The 21585-nt window shown below is 38.2% G+C and overlaps 1 pseudogene across 1 annotated transcript; it reads left to right on the top strand.

The window, feature by feature from the left end:
- The first annotated feature begins 11543 nt into the window (after positions 1-11543).
- Positions 11544-21102, top strand: NPY6R (neuropeptide Y receptor Y6 (pseudogene); annotated as a pseudogene). Its single transcript, NR_002713.3, has 2 exons — positions 11544-11803; positions 18375-21102. The product of NR_002713.3 is annotated as a neuropeptide Y receptor Y6 (pseudogene) (transcript).
- The last annotated feature ends 483 nt before the right edge of the window (positions 21103-21585 follow it).

Here is a 21585-nt window from a genome sequence, read left to right on the forward strand (position 1 = left end):
AATGAAAGGGAATTTATTTATCAGAGTTATAGAGGCTGAGAAGTCCAAGGCTGAGAGGTCACATCTGGTGAGAGCCTTATTGCTGGTGGGGACCGTGTGCAGAGTCCCAAGGTGGCACAGGGTTATCACAAGGTGAGGGGACTCAGCATGCTAATACGCTACCATGCTAGTTCAGGTCTCTTCTCCTCTTCTTATAAAGTCACCAGTTCCCATCCCATGATAACTCATTATTCCATTAATCCATGAATGGATTAACTCATTCATGAAGGCAAATCCCTCATGATCCAATAACTTCTTAAAGGTCTCATCTCCCAATGTTGCCTCATTTGGGGTTAAATTTCAACCTGTGTTTTGAAGGGGACAAATATTCAAACCATAGCACTTGGTTTTTCTTGGAGAAGAAAAACAAGCTAGGAAGACTTAGTCTATGATATCAAGGTTAATAAAGTATATTAATTATTATAGTGAGATACTGATGCAAGGGTGGGCAAAAAGACAAGCAGAACAAAACAGCCAGCCAGAAATAGACTTATACACATTGTTTTAGTCAGTTCAGATGGCTGTAACAAAGTACCACAGGCTGGGTGGCTTATAAACAATAGAAATGTACTTCATACAGTTTTGGAGGCTGGAAATTTAAAATCAGAGTGCCGGCTTGGTGAGGCACTCTTCCAGGTGAGGGCCTCTCCTGGTGAGGGCTCTCTTGCAGGTTGCAGTCCACCAGCTTCTCACACAAGGAAAGACAGCTCTCTAGCTCTCTGGCCCCTTCTTTATTTTTTATTATTATTTTTATTTTTTTGTAGAGACAGGATCTTGCTATGTTGCCTAGGCTTGTCTAGAACTCTTGGCTCACTGGAGCCAAGTGATCCTCCCACCTCAACCTCCCAAAGCACTAAGATTATACAGGCATGAGCCACCATGCCCAGCCTTGGCCTCTTCTTACAAGGGCACTAATCCCATTCATTGATGAGGGCTTCACGCCCATGACCTAATTACTTTCCAAAGGCCACGTCTCCAAATACCATCACCTGGGAATAGGGTTTCAACACAGGAGTTTTGAGGGAATACAAACATTCAGTCCACTGCACATACACAGATGCTTGATAAATGACAGAGATGGCATGGTGAAGTAGTAGGGGCAAGGACTGTCTTTTTGATAAATGGTAGTAGGACAATCAAATATCTGTGAGAATGAAATGAAGTTATATTTCTAGCTGGTACTAAACCAAAAAGTCAACTTCAAATAGATTATAAACCTAAATGTAAGAATAAAAACTGAAAGCTTTTAGAGGATTATATAAGAGAAAATCTCATGATCTCAGGATAAAGAATTTCCTAAGAAGCAGAAAGCACTACATTAATGTTTGTTGAAGATAATGAACTGAGTCACAAAATGTCACTGAAGTAAAAGGTTAGAGGTGCACACCCAAATGGAATGAAATTCCACAAAGTAGAAAAGAAGTCATCAAAATGGCAAGAGAAAGCCAGAAATAAAGACAATTATTGTCATTTACAGTAGTTGTCTCTATAAAACTGTCATGAACACTGCACTAGCAAATACTGAAGCTCTGATCCTAGGGGAAATATAGGGCTAGGTTCCTGGTAAGCCTCTGGTCACATGTTCATCAACCAATCAATACATAACTTGTTTTATAAGTGTTTCTGCTTAATGATATTTTATTTAATATACTCATGGCAACAGCACTATAACTCATGATTGAACAAAGTTTATCTAACACATATGTTTTCTCAATAAGATACATCACAGCCTTCTTCCATTTAAGAACACTAGAAAGCACTTCAGTACTACACTTGGGGGCCATTTAAACAGTGAAATCACCAACAAAAAGCACAAACAGGTTAAAAAAAAAAAGCACTAAATCAACCACAAAAAGACAATTGTTTATAGTGTGAGAACTGAAGTAAGAAGACAATGTTGCCTTGTTCAGCCTCAATTGGGAACGAGTCATCAGGTGACTTAAATTTTGAACCACTCTGCACATGTCCACAAATGACCATGCAAGTCCTGAGTACTGATTTTGGAGTTACAAATAAATTTTAGTGAGTAGGTGAATTTGTAAATACAGAATCCTTGAATGAGGCTCAACTGAATAGATATACAGAAGTCCCTCGCTCTGGGGTTTTGCTTTCCATGATTTCAGTTACCTGGGATCAGCCATGGTACAAAAATGTTAAACAGAAAATCTAAGAAATATACCATTTGTAAGTTTTAAATTGTCATTCCAAGTAGCATAATGAAATTTCTCACCATCGTGCTCTGTCCCGCCTAGGGTATGAATCACCGCTTTGTCCAGTATATCCATGCTGCATATGCAACCCATCCATTATGGTCCAGAAAAAAAACACTGTGTACACAGGCTTCAGCACTATCCACAATTTCAGGCATCCACTGGGGATCTTGGAACGTATCCCTCAATGATAAGGGAGGACTACTATATTCAGTCCTGTGAGGCCTGGACTGTGAGAGAAGGTACATTTTCAGTTAAGTCAGCAAAGGAATCAGGGTCCTCAGAGAAGGACCATGTGATGCTCTGAACAAAATGGGCAAGAGGGTACTGGAGGGGAACAGTGCCTGAATGGGCTTACATTTTGAGGAACAGCCAAAGATGACAGGGATGAAGGAACTTGATACAATCAACTGACCTCAACATTCCAAATGAAATCCTAGCAAAAGTTATTTCAATGGTTTTTATGCTTTGACTTATTTGTCTGCCATGGCATCATAGCATACTGATCAGGTCTGGATATGAAGATGTGTCAGGCATGCTCAAACATCAGTACACCCCAGACTGTTACTTCCTTAAGAAATGAGTGTGGGCTAATATTTAACAGTGTACCCCTGACTGTTACTTCCTAGAAATGAGTGTCGGCTAATATTTAACCACAAAAGTCATTGTTTATAATGTGGTATTTACAATGGGACTGGAGAACTAGAAACAATCTATGTCCATCAGTGGGAAACTTGTTAAACTATGTTCTACCAAAAAAAATGGATTTTTATGATAAAAGCAGTAGCATTTTTGAAATATCTTCTAATTTATGTTGCCAATTCCCACCCCTACCTCTACCTTACCCCTTTAAACTTAACCAGCCATCATCAAAGAGCGTTAAGAGAAGGTGGGGTCCTATAATAACATAGATATAAAAGTAAGCACTGTCAAAAATAAAGTATTTATTTTAGCTGCCATTTAACAATCAAGCTACAGAGTTCTTCCTGTCTTCTATTAAAACTTCTCCTTAAAACTAACATTGGGAAGGACTTAATAGATGTGGGGAAGGGGAGAGATATGACAGAAAACTGGAGAGGCAGATATCATATAAGACTTCATAAGGAATAGTAGATAATTTGGATTTTACCACAACTGCAATTAGATACTGTCAACAAGCTTTAGGTGAAGAAAAAGCAACATGATCTCATTTATTTTTTTTTTTCAAAATCTACTCTGACGCAGTGTGGAGAAATGATTGGAAGGAGGTAAAAGAAAACGTGGAGAGACAAGTAACTACACCATTGCTTTAGTCCAGGTAAGAAATGATGGTGGCTTAAACTAGGATGACTAGAATGGCAATGGAGTTTGAAAAAGGATGAACTTAAGACACATTTTAAAGCAGATAATCCTTTAAAATGCTAAAATTCAGGTATTACAGTGACAATATTATTTTTCCCCTCATGGTATTTCCCAACTTTTTGTTAAACAATAGTACTTACATCTAAAATTTTTAAAACATCACTTACTTTAAAATAATTCAACTCTAAAGCAAACAAATAAGATACTTGTAAGCAAATCCAGGCCTAATATTTGCAAGGTCCACAGCCAGAGTATAAATGAAAGCCCATAGTATATCTCTAAAAATGAAAAAGTTATAAAACAATCTGTTAAATAAAATGTTTAATTCATGTGCCTTGATGAAAATTTTAAAATATGTATAAAAGCATGATTTTTTTTTTTTTTTTTTTTTTTTTGAGACAGGGTCTCACTGTCACCCAGGCTGGAGTGCAGTGGTACAATCATGGCTCACTGTGGCCTTGACTTCCTGGACTCAAGGGATCCTCCCACCTCAGCCTCCTGAGTAGCTGAGACTACAGGCACATGCCAATCATGCCTGGCTAAGTTTTTGTGGTTGGTTTTTGTTTGTTTGTTTGTTTTTTGTAGAGACAGAATTTTGTTATGCTGCCCATGCTTGAACTCCTGGCCTCAAGCCATCCTCCTACCTTGTCCTCCCAAAGTGCTGGGATTATAGGTGTGAGCCACCATGCCTAACCTAGTTGTGATTTTTGTATGACTAAAAGTTGACAGAATATCCAAGACAACTGAATTTAAGCAGTATTGTACATGTCTGGATATAATGTTGATGAGCTGGCAGTGTCTAGATAAAAATAAGATAAAGACATACATAATTTTTAAATTACAATATAGTCCATACAATTTATCTTTCTACCTTAATTTTATCAAATCACTAATCAGGTTTTCTCATAATTTGTGTCATATTGCCAGTAAGTATCCAAAGGATTAAAAATAAATTCAATTTATTTAGAGCATAAAAAGTGTTTAATAATAACATATTGATACTTGAAAATTGCCAAGACAGTAGATTTTAAAAGTTCTCATCACAAAAAGATGATAAGGATGTAAGGTGATGGATATGTTAATTAGCTTGATTTAATCATTCCACATGTATACATATATCAAAACGTCATAGTGTACACTATAAATACATATAATTTTCATGTCAATTAAAAAATAAACATTGATATAAGAAAAAAGTGTTTAAAATTTAAAGTTCACCAAAATTTATATTAAATGTGAAAAATTAAAAATTTCATACTGGTTTTCAAATGTTATCTTCTTTTTTCTATTTTGAGACAGAGTCTCACTCTGTTGCCCAGGCTGCAGTGGTGCAATCTCAGCTCACTGCAACCTCTGCCTCCCAGGTTCAAGCGATTCTCATGCATCAGCCTCCCAAGTAGCTGGGACTACAGGCAGCACCACCACACACCAGCTAAATACAAAAATTTGTATTTTTTGTAGAGACAAGGTTTCACCATGTTGGCCAGACTGGTCTTGAACTCCTGGGCTCTGCCTCAGCCTTCTTTTTTTTTTTTTGAGAAAAGATTGATGTAATTTTTTCCTTTTTGAGTTCCAACCCCAAAAATATTCCAGGAAAAGACGGGGAGACTGGACTGGTTCTTCTTCAATGGGCTTTTGCCATCAAGGAGGACAGTGGACTTGCCCCACATCCAGGCTACCCCCAGCCCACTTCTCCCCTGCTTAGCCAGGGGACAGGGGGGTGGGGTGAGGATGTGGGCGGGGGGGAGGGGCGGGGGGCGGGGCGGGGAGACAGTAGAGGTGGCAGGGGTAGCCGGGAGGGAGGGGCCAGGGCAGTGATGCTTTCAGGTAAGAATTTGGGCTGAGGCTGGGGGGATGGAGGAAGAGCTGCCCATGTGCAGTCACCATTGCTCAGTGACAGAGCCTCAAAGCTTGGCCAGGGCTGAAGGTACCACATGGGTGTGGGTGAGGCAGGCTAAGTTGGATGGCTGCAGTGCCCAGCTATCATATGTTATCTTTTTTCTAAAATATTCAAAATTATGTATAAAAATTCAAAGACAAAATACAAATTATAATTAGCAATTACCAAATTTTAAGTAAATTTATTATAATAAAGTTTAAACTTTAATGTGATTTTTAAAAAAACTAAGTCCTATTATGTATTTTTACAAAAACAGAACTACTCACAATTCTAGAGTTCAAGGCTCATCCACGGCCAATGTCCAGAATATCAGGACCTTCATATATAAAATTTAAGAGTAATATGAGTTGTTTAACATTGCAAAATATTCCTCAACTGCCATGAGCCACTGTTACAAATATCATCCTAATTTATATCTCCAGAACTACATACTGGAATACAAAGAGAAACAAGAAAATGGATGCTCAGCAGCCCTGGGAAATGATACCTCAGTGTGCAAGAATCTACTCCATTTGTGCTAATTAATTTGTCTTTTCCCTCACCTAAGAACTTCTGTCACTCAAATCCTCCCCATACTCCAAAGCAGTGTCCATAACCAGCATCAACAGCCCATAACCTTCACGGCATTCACACAGAATCACTTTTTGCTTCAATGGCAGACGGGAAGAGATGGAGGAAAGTGTTATCTGGAGCCTGAATGGTGTTAGTCACTACAGTGGACATTTGGATTACAAATCGTACTATGCCACTTAGTGCTGGATCTTAAATGACACTTATGTTTTAAACATTTGTGATATGTGCATCCTTTAAGTATAAGATCCAAAGTAGGGGGCCCTGTCACCCAGGTCTTAAGGTGATACTCTAAACTTTAGGGAATATTTCATCCAGGATCTACTGAAATCTAAGAAAAAAAAATTTGAGCAGATTGATAACAGCTTTTCTTTTTTAAATGTATATAATGAGAGAGCTGTTAACAAAGTCAAAAGAGTTATTGACAGAAGTAAAGATGGCTGTAGTGGGGGAGAAAAAAAAACAGGAAACCTTTCTCTACCAAGTTTCTGCAATAATTGACTAATTATAACATGGATGACTGGGAGTTTAGAACCTACTACTCGTATTTTTCAATCTTAACTTTCCCTAATATGGTAAAAACATGGCTTCAGAAAATCATCTCATGTCTTAATTCATGCTTACAAAGGTATATCAGATTAAAGGCAATAAAACGTATTTTATAACTAAAAATAAAACACACGATATAATGAGAGAGCAGAAATCAATGGTACAAGGGCTCTGGAGAGATAAGAAAAGTCAGATGCTCAGTTCTTTCTTTGGATACTTTTATCAACCAAACTGCCTGCTGTATAAGATTACTGGCCTATAAATTAACTTTTGCAATTAAAGCAGTGAATTTTAACTTGAGGCAAACAGAACCCTATTGTTCACTAAGTTTTATCACCAACGATTACAGGACAGAGAGATCTATATCTCCAACACTGTATGCTTAAAAAGAAACAAAACTTGTTTTTCAATTATGAAAGTAATATATGTTCATTATAAAAAACTTGAAAAACTACAAAAATATAAAACAGTATAAAGTATGAAAGTCACCCATAATCCTAACCCTAAACTATTAACATTGTTATATTTCCCTTATTGTGTATACTGCTCTGCATATTTGAGATCATACTGTGAATCATGATTTTATACCATCCATTTTTCATTTAACTTTATATCATAAACATTTCTCATATTTTATTATTTCTAAATATCATTTGCAAGGGCTGCATAAGTCATGTGCAGACTTAGAGTACCCTCTAATTTGCTTAACCATTCCCCTAATGTTGGAGGTTTAGGATGATCTTTGGTTTCTTACTACTATAATCACACTGTGATGAATATCTTTATTTATAAATCTTTATCTGCATTTCCTAGTATTTCCTTAGGGTACAGCTAGACTATGGAAACCAAGGAAATAAGTATTTTTTAAATATCTTGAATGTTTGTCCCCAGTTTTTTCTAATAAGGTATTCTACATTATATGTCCACCAATAATGTATAAGGTGCCCTTTTCACCCTCCATTATCAATATATCAGGTATTCATGACTTTTTTCCAGTATTTGATTAACTGATAAATGAAAATAATTCATTGCTGTTTTGTTTTCTATTTCTCTGACTACTAGTGAAACAGAACCTTTTTTTGCAAATATTTGTTAGTCTTTATTTGCCCTTCTGTTAATTGTCCATACATACTAACAGATACTAATCTATTTTCTTGGTGATTCATATATATGCTTCATAAAGAAAAATACTGTCTTTTGCATCATATTTCTTATAATTATTTCCATTTTTGTGTCTTAACTTATATATTGATTTTTTTCAAGAAAGTTTAAAAATTTTTAAATAGGCATCTCAACTTTTCCCCTTGTATTTTATTTTGAGTTTAAGCTTATTCATTTATTCATTCATTCAACAAATATTCACCAAAGACTTGCTATGTGCCAGAAACTATGCAGGAACACTAAAGATACAGCAGTAAATAAGACGTATTTTTAGCCTTCAAAGAGTTTCCATTTGGCCAGGCAAGATGGCTCATACACCTGTAATGCCAGTGCCTCAGGAGGCCAATTCGGGAGGACTGCTTGAGACCAAGAGTTTGAGACCAGCCTGGCCAACATGGCAAGAACCTCCCTCCACAAATAAAAATTTAAAAATGAAATAGGCAAGGTGGTGCATGCCAGTAGTCCCAGCTACTCAGGAGGCTGAGGCAGGAGGATCACTTGACCCCAAAAGTGCAGTGGCGTGATCTTGGCTCACTGCAACCTCCGCCTCCCGAGTTCAAGCAATTCTCCTGCCTCAGCCTCCTGAGTAGCTGGGAGTATAGGCACATACCACTATACCTGGTTAATTTTTGTATTTTTTGTAGAGATGAAGTTTTACCATGTTGGCCAGGTTGGTCTCAAACTTGGGACCTCAGGTGATCCGCCCTCCTCAGCCTCCCAAAGTGCTGGGATTACAGGTGTGAGCCACCTATTTTCTGTATTTTCTTATATTGTCTACTAATATTTTTTTGAGTCTGTTTTCTCAAATTCTTTCACCTGGGATTTATTCTAGTGTATAGTACGAAACTAAATTAATATTTTTTCTAAGCAGCTAGTTAACTATTCCAGCAACAGTTACTTAATAATTCTTTCCTTCCCTAGAAATCCTTACTGCTGGCTGGGAACGGTGGCTCACGCCTGTAATCCCAGCATTTTGGGAGGCAGAAGTGGGCAGATCACTTGAGGCCAGGAGTTCGAGACCAGCCTGGGCAGCATGGAAAAACCCCATCTCTACAAAAAATACAAAAATTAGCTGGGTGTGGTGGCACATATCTGTAGTCCCAGCTACTCAGGAGGCTGAGGCAGGAGAACTGCTTGAACCCAGGAGGCAGAGGTTGCAGTGAGCTGAGATCACACCACTGCACTCCAGCCTCAGTGACAGAGTGAGACCCCATCTCAAAAAAAAAAAAAAAGCAATCCTTACTGCTTTCACTGTCATATATTAACACGTTATATATACCAGGGTCTATTTCTGTCTATTCCATTCCTTGATCTGTCTGCTAATTCTTGGCCCAGCATTACGTTGATTTAATTATTCACACTTTATAATATTTTAAAATATTTGGTGTTGTTAATCATGCTTTTCATTTTAATTATTCCATTTTTCAAAGCTATTTTCACTTACAAATACTTTATAAGTAATTTTTTATAACCTCTCTTGGGATTTTCATTGAAATTGAATTATATCTACAATTTAACTTGGGAAGAAACAAAATCTTTATAATATTCGGTCTTTCCATCCAAACATTCCTTTTTCCCATTTAATCTTTCTTGAAGGCATTAATGTATTTCCTGGTGATTCTGGAGAAAACAGAAGTATTAATCAGTAGGCTTCCCTTTATATATATACCTTAATTCCTAAGCACACCCAACCTTGATGACAAAGAAGTGTCTTTGAAAAGGAAAAAAAATAAATGGACATTGTGTGTTAGCTCCTCATCGTTTGTTTACATCAGATTATAATAGCTCTCTATGTGTACCTAGGTGAGCAAAAATGTTAACAACAGTGGACCCCTCACCTCAGAACACAGATTTACACCAAACATCCCCTTAAAAGTTTTTTTAAAAATGACTCTGGTTTTGTCATTTCTCAATTTCCCACACTCATTACAGACTTCCTTTAGAATAATAAACAATAAACTCTGTTATTAACTCAAATTTTATGTTTCTACTAAGCGAAATTCTAAACAACAGCAACAGTAATAACTACTATCTATTGAATATCTACTATGTTCTATCATTAATCTTCAAAATAATCCTGCAGGATAGGTGGCTATATTCACCTTATAGGAAAGGAATCAAAAGCTTAGAGAGCAGAGGAGCAAATCCTTCCCTGCTCCGCGTTCAGCCACCCCAGCGATGCTTTATGCTTGTTTTTATTATTTGTAACACTTTGGGAAGTTATTAAAGGAAGATCTATTGCTTCCTCCTTTTGGGGTAGAACTGGATGGCAAAAAATAAAATAAAATAAAAATAAAAGCTTAGAGAGAAGCTCAAGATCACCCAGCTAGGTAATGCTGGAGAATCCAAATTCAGACCTAGCTCTCTCCCACTCAAGCTGACTCTCAAAATCATCATGATCACAGATAACTAAAATGATCTCTTAATATCCACCAAACCTGTGGCACCACTAGCTTTTGCCAATACTCTATATATGGAAAAGGTACTTTCCAATAGCCCTACAATCTTCCAAAGTTTGCTACTCTCTGTATTTTAAATACAAACAGGTAAATAAGTAATGGGACATTGCTAAAAGTTGACTGGGGAAAGAAATACAAGCCACTGAACTGCTTTGATAGTATCTGCTCTTCAGGTTCTTACAGAGGAGGAGATTGGCTTCACGTCCATAGTACACATCCCACTCCTACTCTACCTGCAAGTCCCCCCAGCCAGTGACCCAGCAGGATTCTATAAAACACAGACACACAATGTCAATGTTGTTGACTGCCTGGAAATTTTGAGTTTCTTTAGGGTAGTTTGATGTATTTGGGTAGGGAAACAGGATTGAATCACACAGCCTGGCCCTAAAATGTAGGGTTCTATCACTGAGTCCTTGGCTTAGGAAATGTAGTATTTGAAAATGTTGTGTGCTCATCCACTAGACCATGCCACAAATATTTTCAACCATACTCAATCTTCTACAACCTTGTTTTCTAAAGTCTTCAAACACTCACTATAAGGAAATATTTCTTATATTTAATATAAATCTTACTTTTTGAGTCTTTTATAAATGAGAAGTAGGCCCCTTCTTGTAATAATTTTTCAAATACAGGAAAAGCGCTTTTTAGTCCCCACTTTCATCTATAGTCTATAAGCAGCTCAGCTGTTGTCAGCTCCAAAGTAGTTGATAAAAATCTTATATTTATAATACATACTTGCTCAGAAACTTGGCATTAATTTCAATTTCAAAAGTATCTTCATTAATCTTATAAATTACTGCAAAATCTGGAATAGCACCATCTCTTTTTTTAAACTTTTAAGTTCAGGGGTGCAAGTGCAGGTTTGTTACATAGGTAAACTGGTGTCATGGGCGTTTTTTGTACAGATTATTTCATCACCCAGATATTAAGCCTAGTACCCATTAGTTATTTTTCCTGATCCTGTCCCTCCTCCTACCCACTACCCTCTGAAAGGCCCCAGTGTGTGCTGCTGCCCTCTATGTGTCCATCTCTTAACTAACAGTAAATGCTCTAAGAACAACCATTAATGTTTACTAATAATTTTCCAGGAATATTTAAGTTAAATGTCTGATTTTGGCCGTGCTAATTTAAAAAAAAAATATATATATATATATATACATATATATATGCCAGAAAATGCCACAGATTTTCAAGAGGCACTCTTATTATCATCTCTACAAGATGACTGAAAGTGACATTTTGAAAATATCTTTTAAACAGCTCCACCTCATGTCACTGCTGCTGAGATTTCTGACTCCTCCCTTCCGGCTCTTCAGTGACCTTCAGTGCCCACTGGATTCCAAAGCTCAATCCTCTGTGCAATGATTCCAACTCCAGGGATCAGTGTCTGAAGTGAAGCTACAGATTGTCTGGTGGATAAATAATCCAAGAAGGAACGGGGGATGTTATGACTTTTTGAGAGAAGGCTAACATGTCATCCTTGACAGATAAACTTTAAAAAATTATAATAATGGAAATGAAGAAAGAAAACAACAGAAGATGAGAATAGCAAAAGAGCTAGACATTTCCGACAGGTAAGAAAATGGGAAACAAACCTCTAAAATGCTTAAGAAAAATATTGCAAATGTGTTTATCCAATGTGTATTTCATGTTAGAATAATCCAGTTTTAAAAAGTAAATGAAGATCATTAAAAATTGGAAATATAGTGCTTTTAGGCTAAATTGTACTAGATGCCTTTTTACATATATGATTTGAAAAACAACCCTACAGTTTCAGAATGCACTACTGTAAGAAAATTATAAAAAGAAACCACCAAAAGCTAGTATTGGCACAATGGGGTTTTAATTACTTTATCTTTTAGTAAATAATCTTAAAAATCTGGTATACTTATTTTCATTGGCAGAGTTGAGATCTCCTTTCTTAATGCACTCAATGTTTTATTATTTTAAAGAACTGAAAACCCCCACATTCCTAAAATGATAAGTTCGGTTATTAACCTTCAAAGAAAATAAAAGTCAATTCAGACAAGCTGTGTTGGCTTGTTTTTAAAACAGTAGCTTTGAGAAGCATATATATTTTCCACTACCACTTTATATGGATTCAGGCAATGGTCAAATTCAAGGAAAGAAAACATATAAACCATTTTCAGCAGAGAAAAATCAAAGTACATGTAATAAAAGAATGGTTGGGTCAAATGTAATCCTCAAGTCTTAAAAGACAGCACACACTTCTGCAACAGATAGATATGAAATTTGATTTTTGGAATGGGTGAACAGTTGAATAACTTAAGGAGGTTTGCATGATGTTGAATAACCAGGCCAATTATACTTTTTTAATAACGCTGTAAGAGATTAGGCATTTGTTTCTTGATGCTTAGTGCAGTTACTTAATGTAGTACTTTGTTCTTAGGGTAAGCTCTAAGATGTACCTTTACAGAGATTCTAGTCTATTTGTTTTCATGGAACACAAATGATTTATTTGACTGATCTTTTAAAAAATGAAATGACCAAATAAACTAGAAATATTGCCTTGTATACGATTTAGGAAGTAGACGTCTGTTCCTGGCTCTGCAGCTAACTACACAACCATGAGTCAGTCACTGGATCTTAGTTTCCATGTTTGTAAATCAGAAATAAAGTATCATTCCTATCTAGAGTACAGGGCTGCTGTAGAGATCAAGTAAGATAGCAAGCCTTGTCAGCACATGAATTATTGATGAATTAATTAATGAACAATGCAGTACTTTAAAAATCATTAAGCCCTGAAGACTATGAGACGTTATCTGCATCAGCACAACCATAGAATCTGTACTCTTAGAGATTTAAGAAAAAGGAGAGAGAATTCTATGGGAGATGCTCACAGTGTGGTCCTACCCCATTTTGGGCTCCTCACATATATACTTGGGGGTTGGGAGATGTACAAACTCTCTGAAGCCACAACTCTCTGAAGTTACATAACAGAATTTTGTTCATATAGAACGAATAGAAAATATTCTACTTCTTTGCTTTTAAAATTAACGACAGGAAATACAGAACTTGATATAAGAAATATAAAACAGGAGGCAATAGAAAATTGTGGAAAGAACACGGAACTCTCTGGAAGCCAGAAGACTTGGGCTCTGGTCCCTGTTCTGCTAATATTTAACTGCAATGCTGCAATATCTGTCAAATGAAAGGAATATATTAGAGGACCTTTATAGTCTCTTTCAGATCAAAGCACCATAGCCCCAAATGAAATAGAACAAATAATGTAAAATATAATTTTTCTATGCCATGGACAATTAAGGGAAAGGGGTAAAACAAGAGTAAAGAATAAGACAGATGGACAGAAAGAGAGGAAGAGAGTAAATGGTAAGGAAAAAAACAGACAGACCAAAAGGCAGACACACACAAACTCTACCCCCAGCTCTCTCCCCCTCAAAAAAAGAATTTTATGAATAAAGAGACAGAAGAAAGATACACACTAACAAAATGACATTCAGATGCAGAAATAAACATGTACATAAAAACTTTGGTGGAATTATGCTCTTATTTTGTTCATCTTGAAACTTTTAAACACAAAACTACCCAAAAAATTTAACATACTGTTGTACTTTTATGTTAAAAGGCATAAACTGAATCAGTTCAAGGCAGGTGCCTCATGAGCTAGATACAATCAAGTTGAAGGTTTAGGATTAACTGCTGCCATATGCTACTGATATTTTTTAGTAAAATGTCACTTGATAATTTGAGATCTCACTTCCATGGGTCAATTCCAACCAAACAAGCCAAAGATGAACTCTCCTAAAATAGAAATGAATCCCAAGAATTTTTTTATGAACAGGGCTTAGTATTATTTTGCTTCCAGATAGGCAGGATTTAAATATTTTAACTTAATAGTTACCAGTTACATAAAGTGTAAATCCCACATTGCCATTTAAAGCCCAAATTTGGCCATTTTCCTATTTAATCTTCTCTGTATTGTGTAGAGGGTACTAGATAATGTAACTCCAGCACTCTCCTTTGATTCCCTCCTAAGATGAGGCCCTTCAGATCTATAGGCTTTTCTGAGCTCCAAGCTGAGATAGGAATTTATAGACTGGGGAGCTAATTTGTACTTTGCTACTAATCAGAATACAGGAGAGCAGAAGAATTGCCACCCAGTTTCAAGCCTGCTGTTGCAGGATTTTGAGTAATCCCCATTCACTATGAAGTCAGCCCAGATTGACAAGAATAGGCAACACAAGAGCTCTCGATGTTTATTCTCATCTTTATCTGCTAGGAACCCTGCAAAATTATATGAGTTTTCACATCTGTAAAGAGAAAACCTGCAGGATTCATAGGAAGCTTTTCTTTCTTGTAAATAATAAGAGCTTGGAAGAAAAAACACACAAGACTTTTCTGGTTTTGTTTGGTTTTAGCTAACTCCTTGGACTTTTCTGTACTTTGGTTTTTTCCTCTATGAAATGGAACTATAACAATCCCACTCCTCCCTAACACAACTGGTGATGGAAAAATAAATAGCATAGCAGATATGAAAGCACTCATAGCTCTTTGGAGGATGAGGATTAGATCAGTTCAGTCCAAGTGTCTGAGACATGCAACAAGAATAACAACAACAATAATGAGCACTTGGGTTTGAACAGTGTTTAACAGTTTATACAATTTTTTTTAATTTTTAAAAAACTTTTAAGTTCAGGGGCACATGTGCAGGTTTGTTATATAGGTAACTTGCATGTTGGTTGGGCACGGTGGCTCACGGCTATACTCCCAGCACTTTGGGAGTCCAAGGTGGGCAGATCACGAGGTCAGGAGATCGAGACCATCCTGGCCAACATGGTGAAACCCCTGTCTCTACTAAAATACAAAAAAAAATCAGCCAGGTGTGGTGGTGTGTGCCTGTAGTCCCAGCTACGCAGGAGGCTGAGGCAGGGGAATCACTTGAACCCAGGAGGCAGAGGTTGCAGTGAGCCAAGATTGCACCACTGCACTCCAGCCTGGCGACAGAGCAAGACGCCGTCTCAGAAAAAAGAAAAAAAAAGTAAATTGCATGTCATGGGGGTTTGGTGTATGGATTATTTCATCACCCAGGTAACAAGGATACTACCCGATAGGTCGTTTTTCAATCCTCTTAAAATGTTTTAAATATATTATTTCATTGGCCTTTATAACAAGGTATGAAGTAGGGAGGCTATTTTTTATTTCATTTGACAGATAAAGAAATTGAGGCCAAGAGGAGAGTGCCTTGCCCCAGATCAAACAGCTAGTAAACAACAGGACATGTCTCCTGACACAAAATCTAGTGCTCATTCTAGTTTACTCAACTACATATGCAGTTAATGCCTATTTCCTTTCATTCCTATCCTCCTTTAAGTGAGGCTTGCTTGGTAGGAGGCCTCTAATTAGCAATCAAAGCTTTCTGTCTCTCATGTATAGTTCTAATCTATCAACTGTATAGAGAGCTTAAATTTTACTTGAAATTCTCCTTCAGCCAATATCTGTGAACTCTGGGTCTCATGAGTCATCCAGGCCTTAAACTTTCCTTTTGAATACCATTATTTATAAATTTTGCTATTTCTCTTATTACCACATAGCACGTGTTAAAGCAAACTAAATATAGCCTGAGAAGGACTCTGTACTTCTACATTTGAGTCCCTGTGGATGAACTGTAACCTAGCTTAATAGGCAGACAAGATTGAAAACCTAACCTAGGAGTATGCACCTGTAACAATAGCTGAGTCTTAGCCAATCCCAGCGGCCATACTTCAACCACTCATAGACTGCTAAGCATTCAAACTATGTTCAAAGAAGGTAAACGTCAACCTGTAATCAATCTAGCTGTTTCTGTACCTCACCTCCAATTTCTGGACATCACTTCCCTTTTTTTGATCTATAAATTTGTTCTGACCACGAGGCATCCCTGGAGTCTCTCTGAATCTGCTGTAATTCTGGAGGCTGCCTGATTCACAAATCGTTCATTGCTCAATTAAACTCCTTCAAATTTAATTCAGCTTAAGTTTTTCTTTTAACACGTCTAAGCCACAGATCAGTTCCTTGGATCCTCCCTCCTCGGCCTCCCGAGTAGCTAGGACTACAGGTGTACACCACCACGCCCAGTTCATCTGTGGTATTTTTATGCTGTTCCTCATTGTGTTATCCATTGTTGAAACCATGACAGACCTAACTATTCTTAAGGTGATTTCTTTCCAGTAAGAAACTGCTAAGCCTTAGATCTCAGAAAGAACGTGAGAAGAGGCCATCATAATTTCAAACAGCAAACAAAATTGCATTCCCTTTCATTCCTATTGCTCAGTTCCCTTTATCAATGTTATTTATGTTGTTTTCTTCAAACTACTAAAGAATAAACCAAGATGAGGAGTACCCCCCCACCTCCGCCTTTGCTGTCTTTCAATGTTTTCTCTTTGGGCCAGAAATCCCAGCACTTTGAATGGCAGGGAATCCTTCAAGCCTGTTGTACATCCCGGTATGAATAATTCTACTGAATATAACCACCCTAAACTATGCTGAGCCATAGAACCAGAGCCTGCCTTTCCTCTAGAAGTTAGAAGAAGAAAGCATCTGGAGGAAGGAAGAATTGGAGGAATGCTTTTTAAATGAAGTTAATTCTGGGTAATAGCTCACTAGACGCTGGCTGCCTTCCTTGCCTTAATCTCCAAAATCCGCAATGTACCCCGAAACTGCCTATGGCTTCAATCCCAGAGAGTGGAAGAAGTGAAAAGAGGAGAAGGCACATGCTATTCCATAGCAGATATGTTCTGTAATTCTGGCCCCCAAACTAAAGGCTGTAGACTGGCTCTGGGCAGTAGAGCTGACAAATTTTATTCAACATACATATACTGAGTACCTACTATGTGCTCTATGTTGGGGCTGAGGGACAAATTTAGATGTGTGTTCTCACTTAATCTTCACAACTACTCAGATAGATAGAGATTATTTATCCCCATTTTACAGATAAGAAAACAGAGGAGGAAGGGTAACTGACCTACAACAAAGTCAGACAAATACCAAGAAGTGATGCTCCAACTGGAACCTGTCTTAGTCCATGTGTGATGCTTTAACAAAATAACACAGACAAAATATCACAAGGTTATAAACAATAGAAATTTATTTCTCACAGTTTTGGAGGCTAGGAAGTCCAAGATCAAGGCACCAAAAGGTTCAGTGTCTGGTAAGGGCTCTTCTCTTCCAGAATGGCACCTTGTTGCTGTATACTCGCACAGCAGAAGGGACAGAAGAGGCAAACTCACTTAGGGTCTCCTTATAAAAGGAATGAGTTTGCCCTTACAAAGCCCTTTTATGAGGCCCTAATCCATTCATGAGGGCAGAGCCCTCATGGCCTAGTCACCTCCTAAAAGCCCTACCTCTTAATACTGTTGCATTGGGGATTAAGTTTCAACATGAATTTTGGAGGGAACACAAACATTCAAACAAACCATAACAGAACCCAACTTCAAACACAGTACTCAGGCCTCCAAAGCACAATCCCTATCCTCCTGACTTTTTATAGTCCATTGAAGCAAGTGTGTGCATACTCAGGTGACCCTAAAAAAATACAGAAGTTGGCCGGGCATGGTGGCTCACGCCTGTAATCCCAGCACTTTGGGAGGCCGAGGTGGGCAGATCACGAGGTCAGGAGATCGAGACCATCCTGGCTAACATGGTGAAACCCCGTCTCTACTACAGATACAAAAAATACAAAAAATTAGCTGGGCATAGTGGCACACACCTGTAGTCCCAGTCTCCTGCAGTCCCTGTCTCCTGCCTCGGGAGGCTAAGGCAGGAGAACCGCTTGAACCTGGGAGGTGGAAGTTGCAGTGAGCAGAGATCACACCACTGCACTCTAGCCTGGGTGACAGAGCGAGACTCCATCTCAAAAAAAAAAAAAAAGCAGAAGTTGATAGGGATAGAAACACATTTGGCTGCTTCTATAGTTAACAAGATGCTGTTACATTCCTTGCCTCACTAGCTCTGAAGACTATACTAGCGGGACAAAGAAAGCACCTGAGATGAGCTGAGAGGAGGGTAAAGGTACACAGAGATCCCCTGGATATTTGTTCTATGTCCTCTCAGGGGCTTTGCTACCACTAGAGAATTATCCATATTAAGAACTTGCATTGATATTCTGGGTTCTGTTTCATTTTTTAGGGTCTCAAGAGCACGCTCAAGTCATTCACATGTTTCCATCAAATACAGACACAGATCAGGGAAGATTAAACCCTACTAATTTCTCGTCGGATGCCTCACAACAAGGTGCCTTCCAAGAACTAATGGCCAAAATATCCACCCACAACACAAATAAGCTTAGAAAATCTCTTCTTACAATCCTGACACAATGGAAGTTTCCCTAAACCACCCAGCATCTAATACAACCAGCACAAAGAACAACAACTCGGCATTTTTTTACTTTGAGTCCTGTCAACCCCCTTCTCCAGCTTTACTCCTATTATGCATAGCCTATACTGTGGTCTTAATTGTGGGCCTTTTTGGAAACCTCTCTCTCATCATCATCATCTTTAAGAAGCAGAGAAAAGCTCAGAATTTCACCAGCATACTGATTGCCAATCTCTCCCTCTCTGATACCTTGGTGTGTGTCATGTGCATCCATTTTACTATCATCTACACTCTGATGGACCACTGGATATTTGGGGATACCATGTGCAGACTCACATCCTATGTGCAGAGTGTCTCAATCTCTGTGTCCATATTCTCACTTGTATTCACTGCTGTCGAAAGATATCAGCTAATTGTGAACCCCCGTGGCTGGAAGCCCAGTGTGACTCATGCCTACTGGGGCATCACACTGATTTGGCTGTTTTCCCTTCTGCTGTCTATTCCCTTCTTCCTGTCCTACCACCTCACTGATGAGCCCTTCCGCAACCTCTCTCTCCCCACTGACCTCTACACCCACCAGGTGGCCTGTGTGGAGAACTGGCCCTCCAAAAAGGACCGGCTGCTCTTCACCACCTCCCTTTTTCTGCTGCAGTATTTTGTTCCTCTAGGCTTCATCCTCATCTGCTACTTGAAGATTGTTATCTGCCTCCGCAGGAGAAATGCAAAGGTAGATAAGAAGAAGGAAAATGAGGGCCGGCTCAATGAGAACAAGAGGATCAACACAATGTTGATTTCCATCGTGGTGACCTTTGGAGCCTGCTGGCTGCCCCGAATATCTTCAATGTCATCTTTGACTGGTATCATGAGGTGCTGATGAGCTGCCACCACGACCTGGTATTTGTAGTTTGCCACTTGGTTGCTATGGTTTCCACATGTATAAACCCTCTCTTTTATGGCTTTCTCAACAAAAATTTCCAAAAGGACCTGGTAGTGCTTATTCACCACTGCTGGTGCTTCACACCTCAGGAAAGATGTGAAAATATTGCCATCTCCACTATGCACACAGACTCCAAGAGGTCTTTAAGATTGGCTCGTATAACAACAGGTATATGAAAATTGATAATGCTGAAGCTCTTCTTGAATGGGAGCTGGACAGGTAATGGTGGGAATAGGGCAAGATGCAGAAAGAAGAAACCAGAACCAAAAATAGCAACTTTATACCCACTTTTCCTTTAGGCTAAGACTGCCTGTCTCATATGTCTATCCAACACACCCTCCAACATACACGAACACACATACCACCCCTTTTCTCTTAAGAAAATAACTCTAATAATTCAAACAACCTGCCCGCCATCATTTGTGGCAAAGAATGAGAATGAGAAAGCAGAGAGAGAGGCAAACAGCAGTGATGGCTGGGGAACAATGTTCACAGATACTTTTATTCAATGGAATATCTACAAAAGTTATGACTAATGATATGCCTAGTAAAAACACTGCTATACCTCCTTAGCACTGAAGCAAGTCTATTCTCAGATATGAAAACTGTAACTTTCAATCATATAACTATTCAATTAATTAGCCAAGTCAGAAAATCCCCCCTTAAAATTCATTAATTAATTAACAAACTAAGTTTGGACTAAAGTTGAAGGGCTGGTTTTAACTTAACATTTAAACGAAGTGTTGTAATTACAATTAATTCCCATGCTTGAATCATATCTCCAGTTTATGATAACAGTACATTTTATTCACTAACAATGCTATTAGAACTGGCCACAAATTCTTTAGCATAGCAATTATGCTAGAAATTGCTCTAACAAACTTATTAATGGCCAATGTAGATACAGCTTTCCTCACAAAGTGGCTTTTAATCCCTAATTCTTTATGTATATTAAAAAGAGGTCATTATGACTCTATTACTGGATCTCAGAGACTTTGTCAGTAGCATTTTTATAATTAGCGCCAGATTTTTAAAACCTTCTCATATATCTTGTGGCTTAAACATTTTTAAAAGAGCCCTCATCCCCACAGAGTTGCTTACACAGGGGAATCAACTAGACTGTTCTCAAAAGACACTAAGCTACTGTTCAAATTGCTATTAACTGAAGTCACTTTTATTAAATTGTGACCAGCTTTACCACTTCTTAGAACAAACCTCCCCTATATCTATCAAAGTTGAACTGCAGCTTATTTGTATGTTAAAAATGTAACTGTAGGCTGGACTCAGCAACTTACACCTGTAATCCCAGCCCTTTGGGAGGCCAAGGTGGAGGATCACTTTTGCCCAGGAGTTGAAGACCAGCCTGAGCAACACAGTGAGACTCCATCTCTACTAAAAATACAAAAAATTAGCCAGGTGTGGTCATGCATACCTGCAGTCCCAGCTACTTAGATGAGAGGAAGGATCACCTGAGCCTGGGAGATCAAGTGAGTCATGATCACACCACTGCACTCCAACCTGGATGAAAGAGTGAGACCCTGTCTCAAAAAAAAATTTTAAAAGTAACTATATTTTCTTTTGAATAAAAAGTAATGTTTCTGGAAACATCTGTGATTTTTCTATTGTGCTTTTTCTTGCACATTAGCTTTCACATTTTCCTCTCCTGAAAATCTCTTTCTCTCTTCCTCTTTCCCTCCTTCCCTTATTCTCTCTTTATTCATTCTCTTTAGGGTTTCTATTCTCTGTTTTATCATTTTGGAATAAATGAACAACAAAAGCACTGCAGAACACACAAACGAAACAAAATCTAACCATCTCATGGCAGTAGCTGTAAATGTCACTTTACTTACTTGGTAAAGAAATACCGATTCTAGGCCAGGCATGGTGGCTCACGCCTGTAATCCCAGCACTTTGGGAGGCCAAGGTGGGCAGATCCCTTGAGGTCAGGAGTTCGAGACCAGCCTGGCCAAAATGGTGAAACCCCATCTCTACTAAAAATACAAAAATTAGCCAGGTATGGTGGTGAGCACCTGTAATCCCAACTACTCAGGAGGCTGAGGCAGAAGAATCTCTTGAACTGAGGAGGCA

Source organism: Homo sapiens, chromosome 5 (genome assembly GCF_000001405.40).
Source record: "Homo sapiens chromosome 5, GRCh38.p14 Primary Assembly".
NCBI classification, from domain to species: domain Eukaryota; kingdom Metazoa; phylum Chordata; class Mammalia; order Primates; family Hominidae; genus Homo; species Homo sapiens.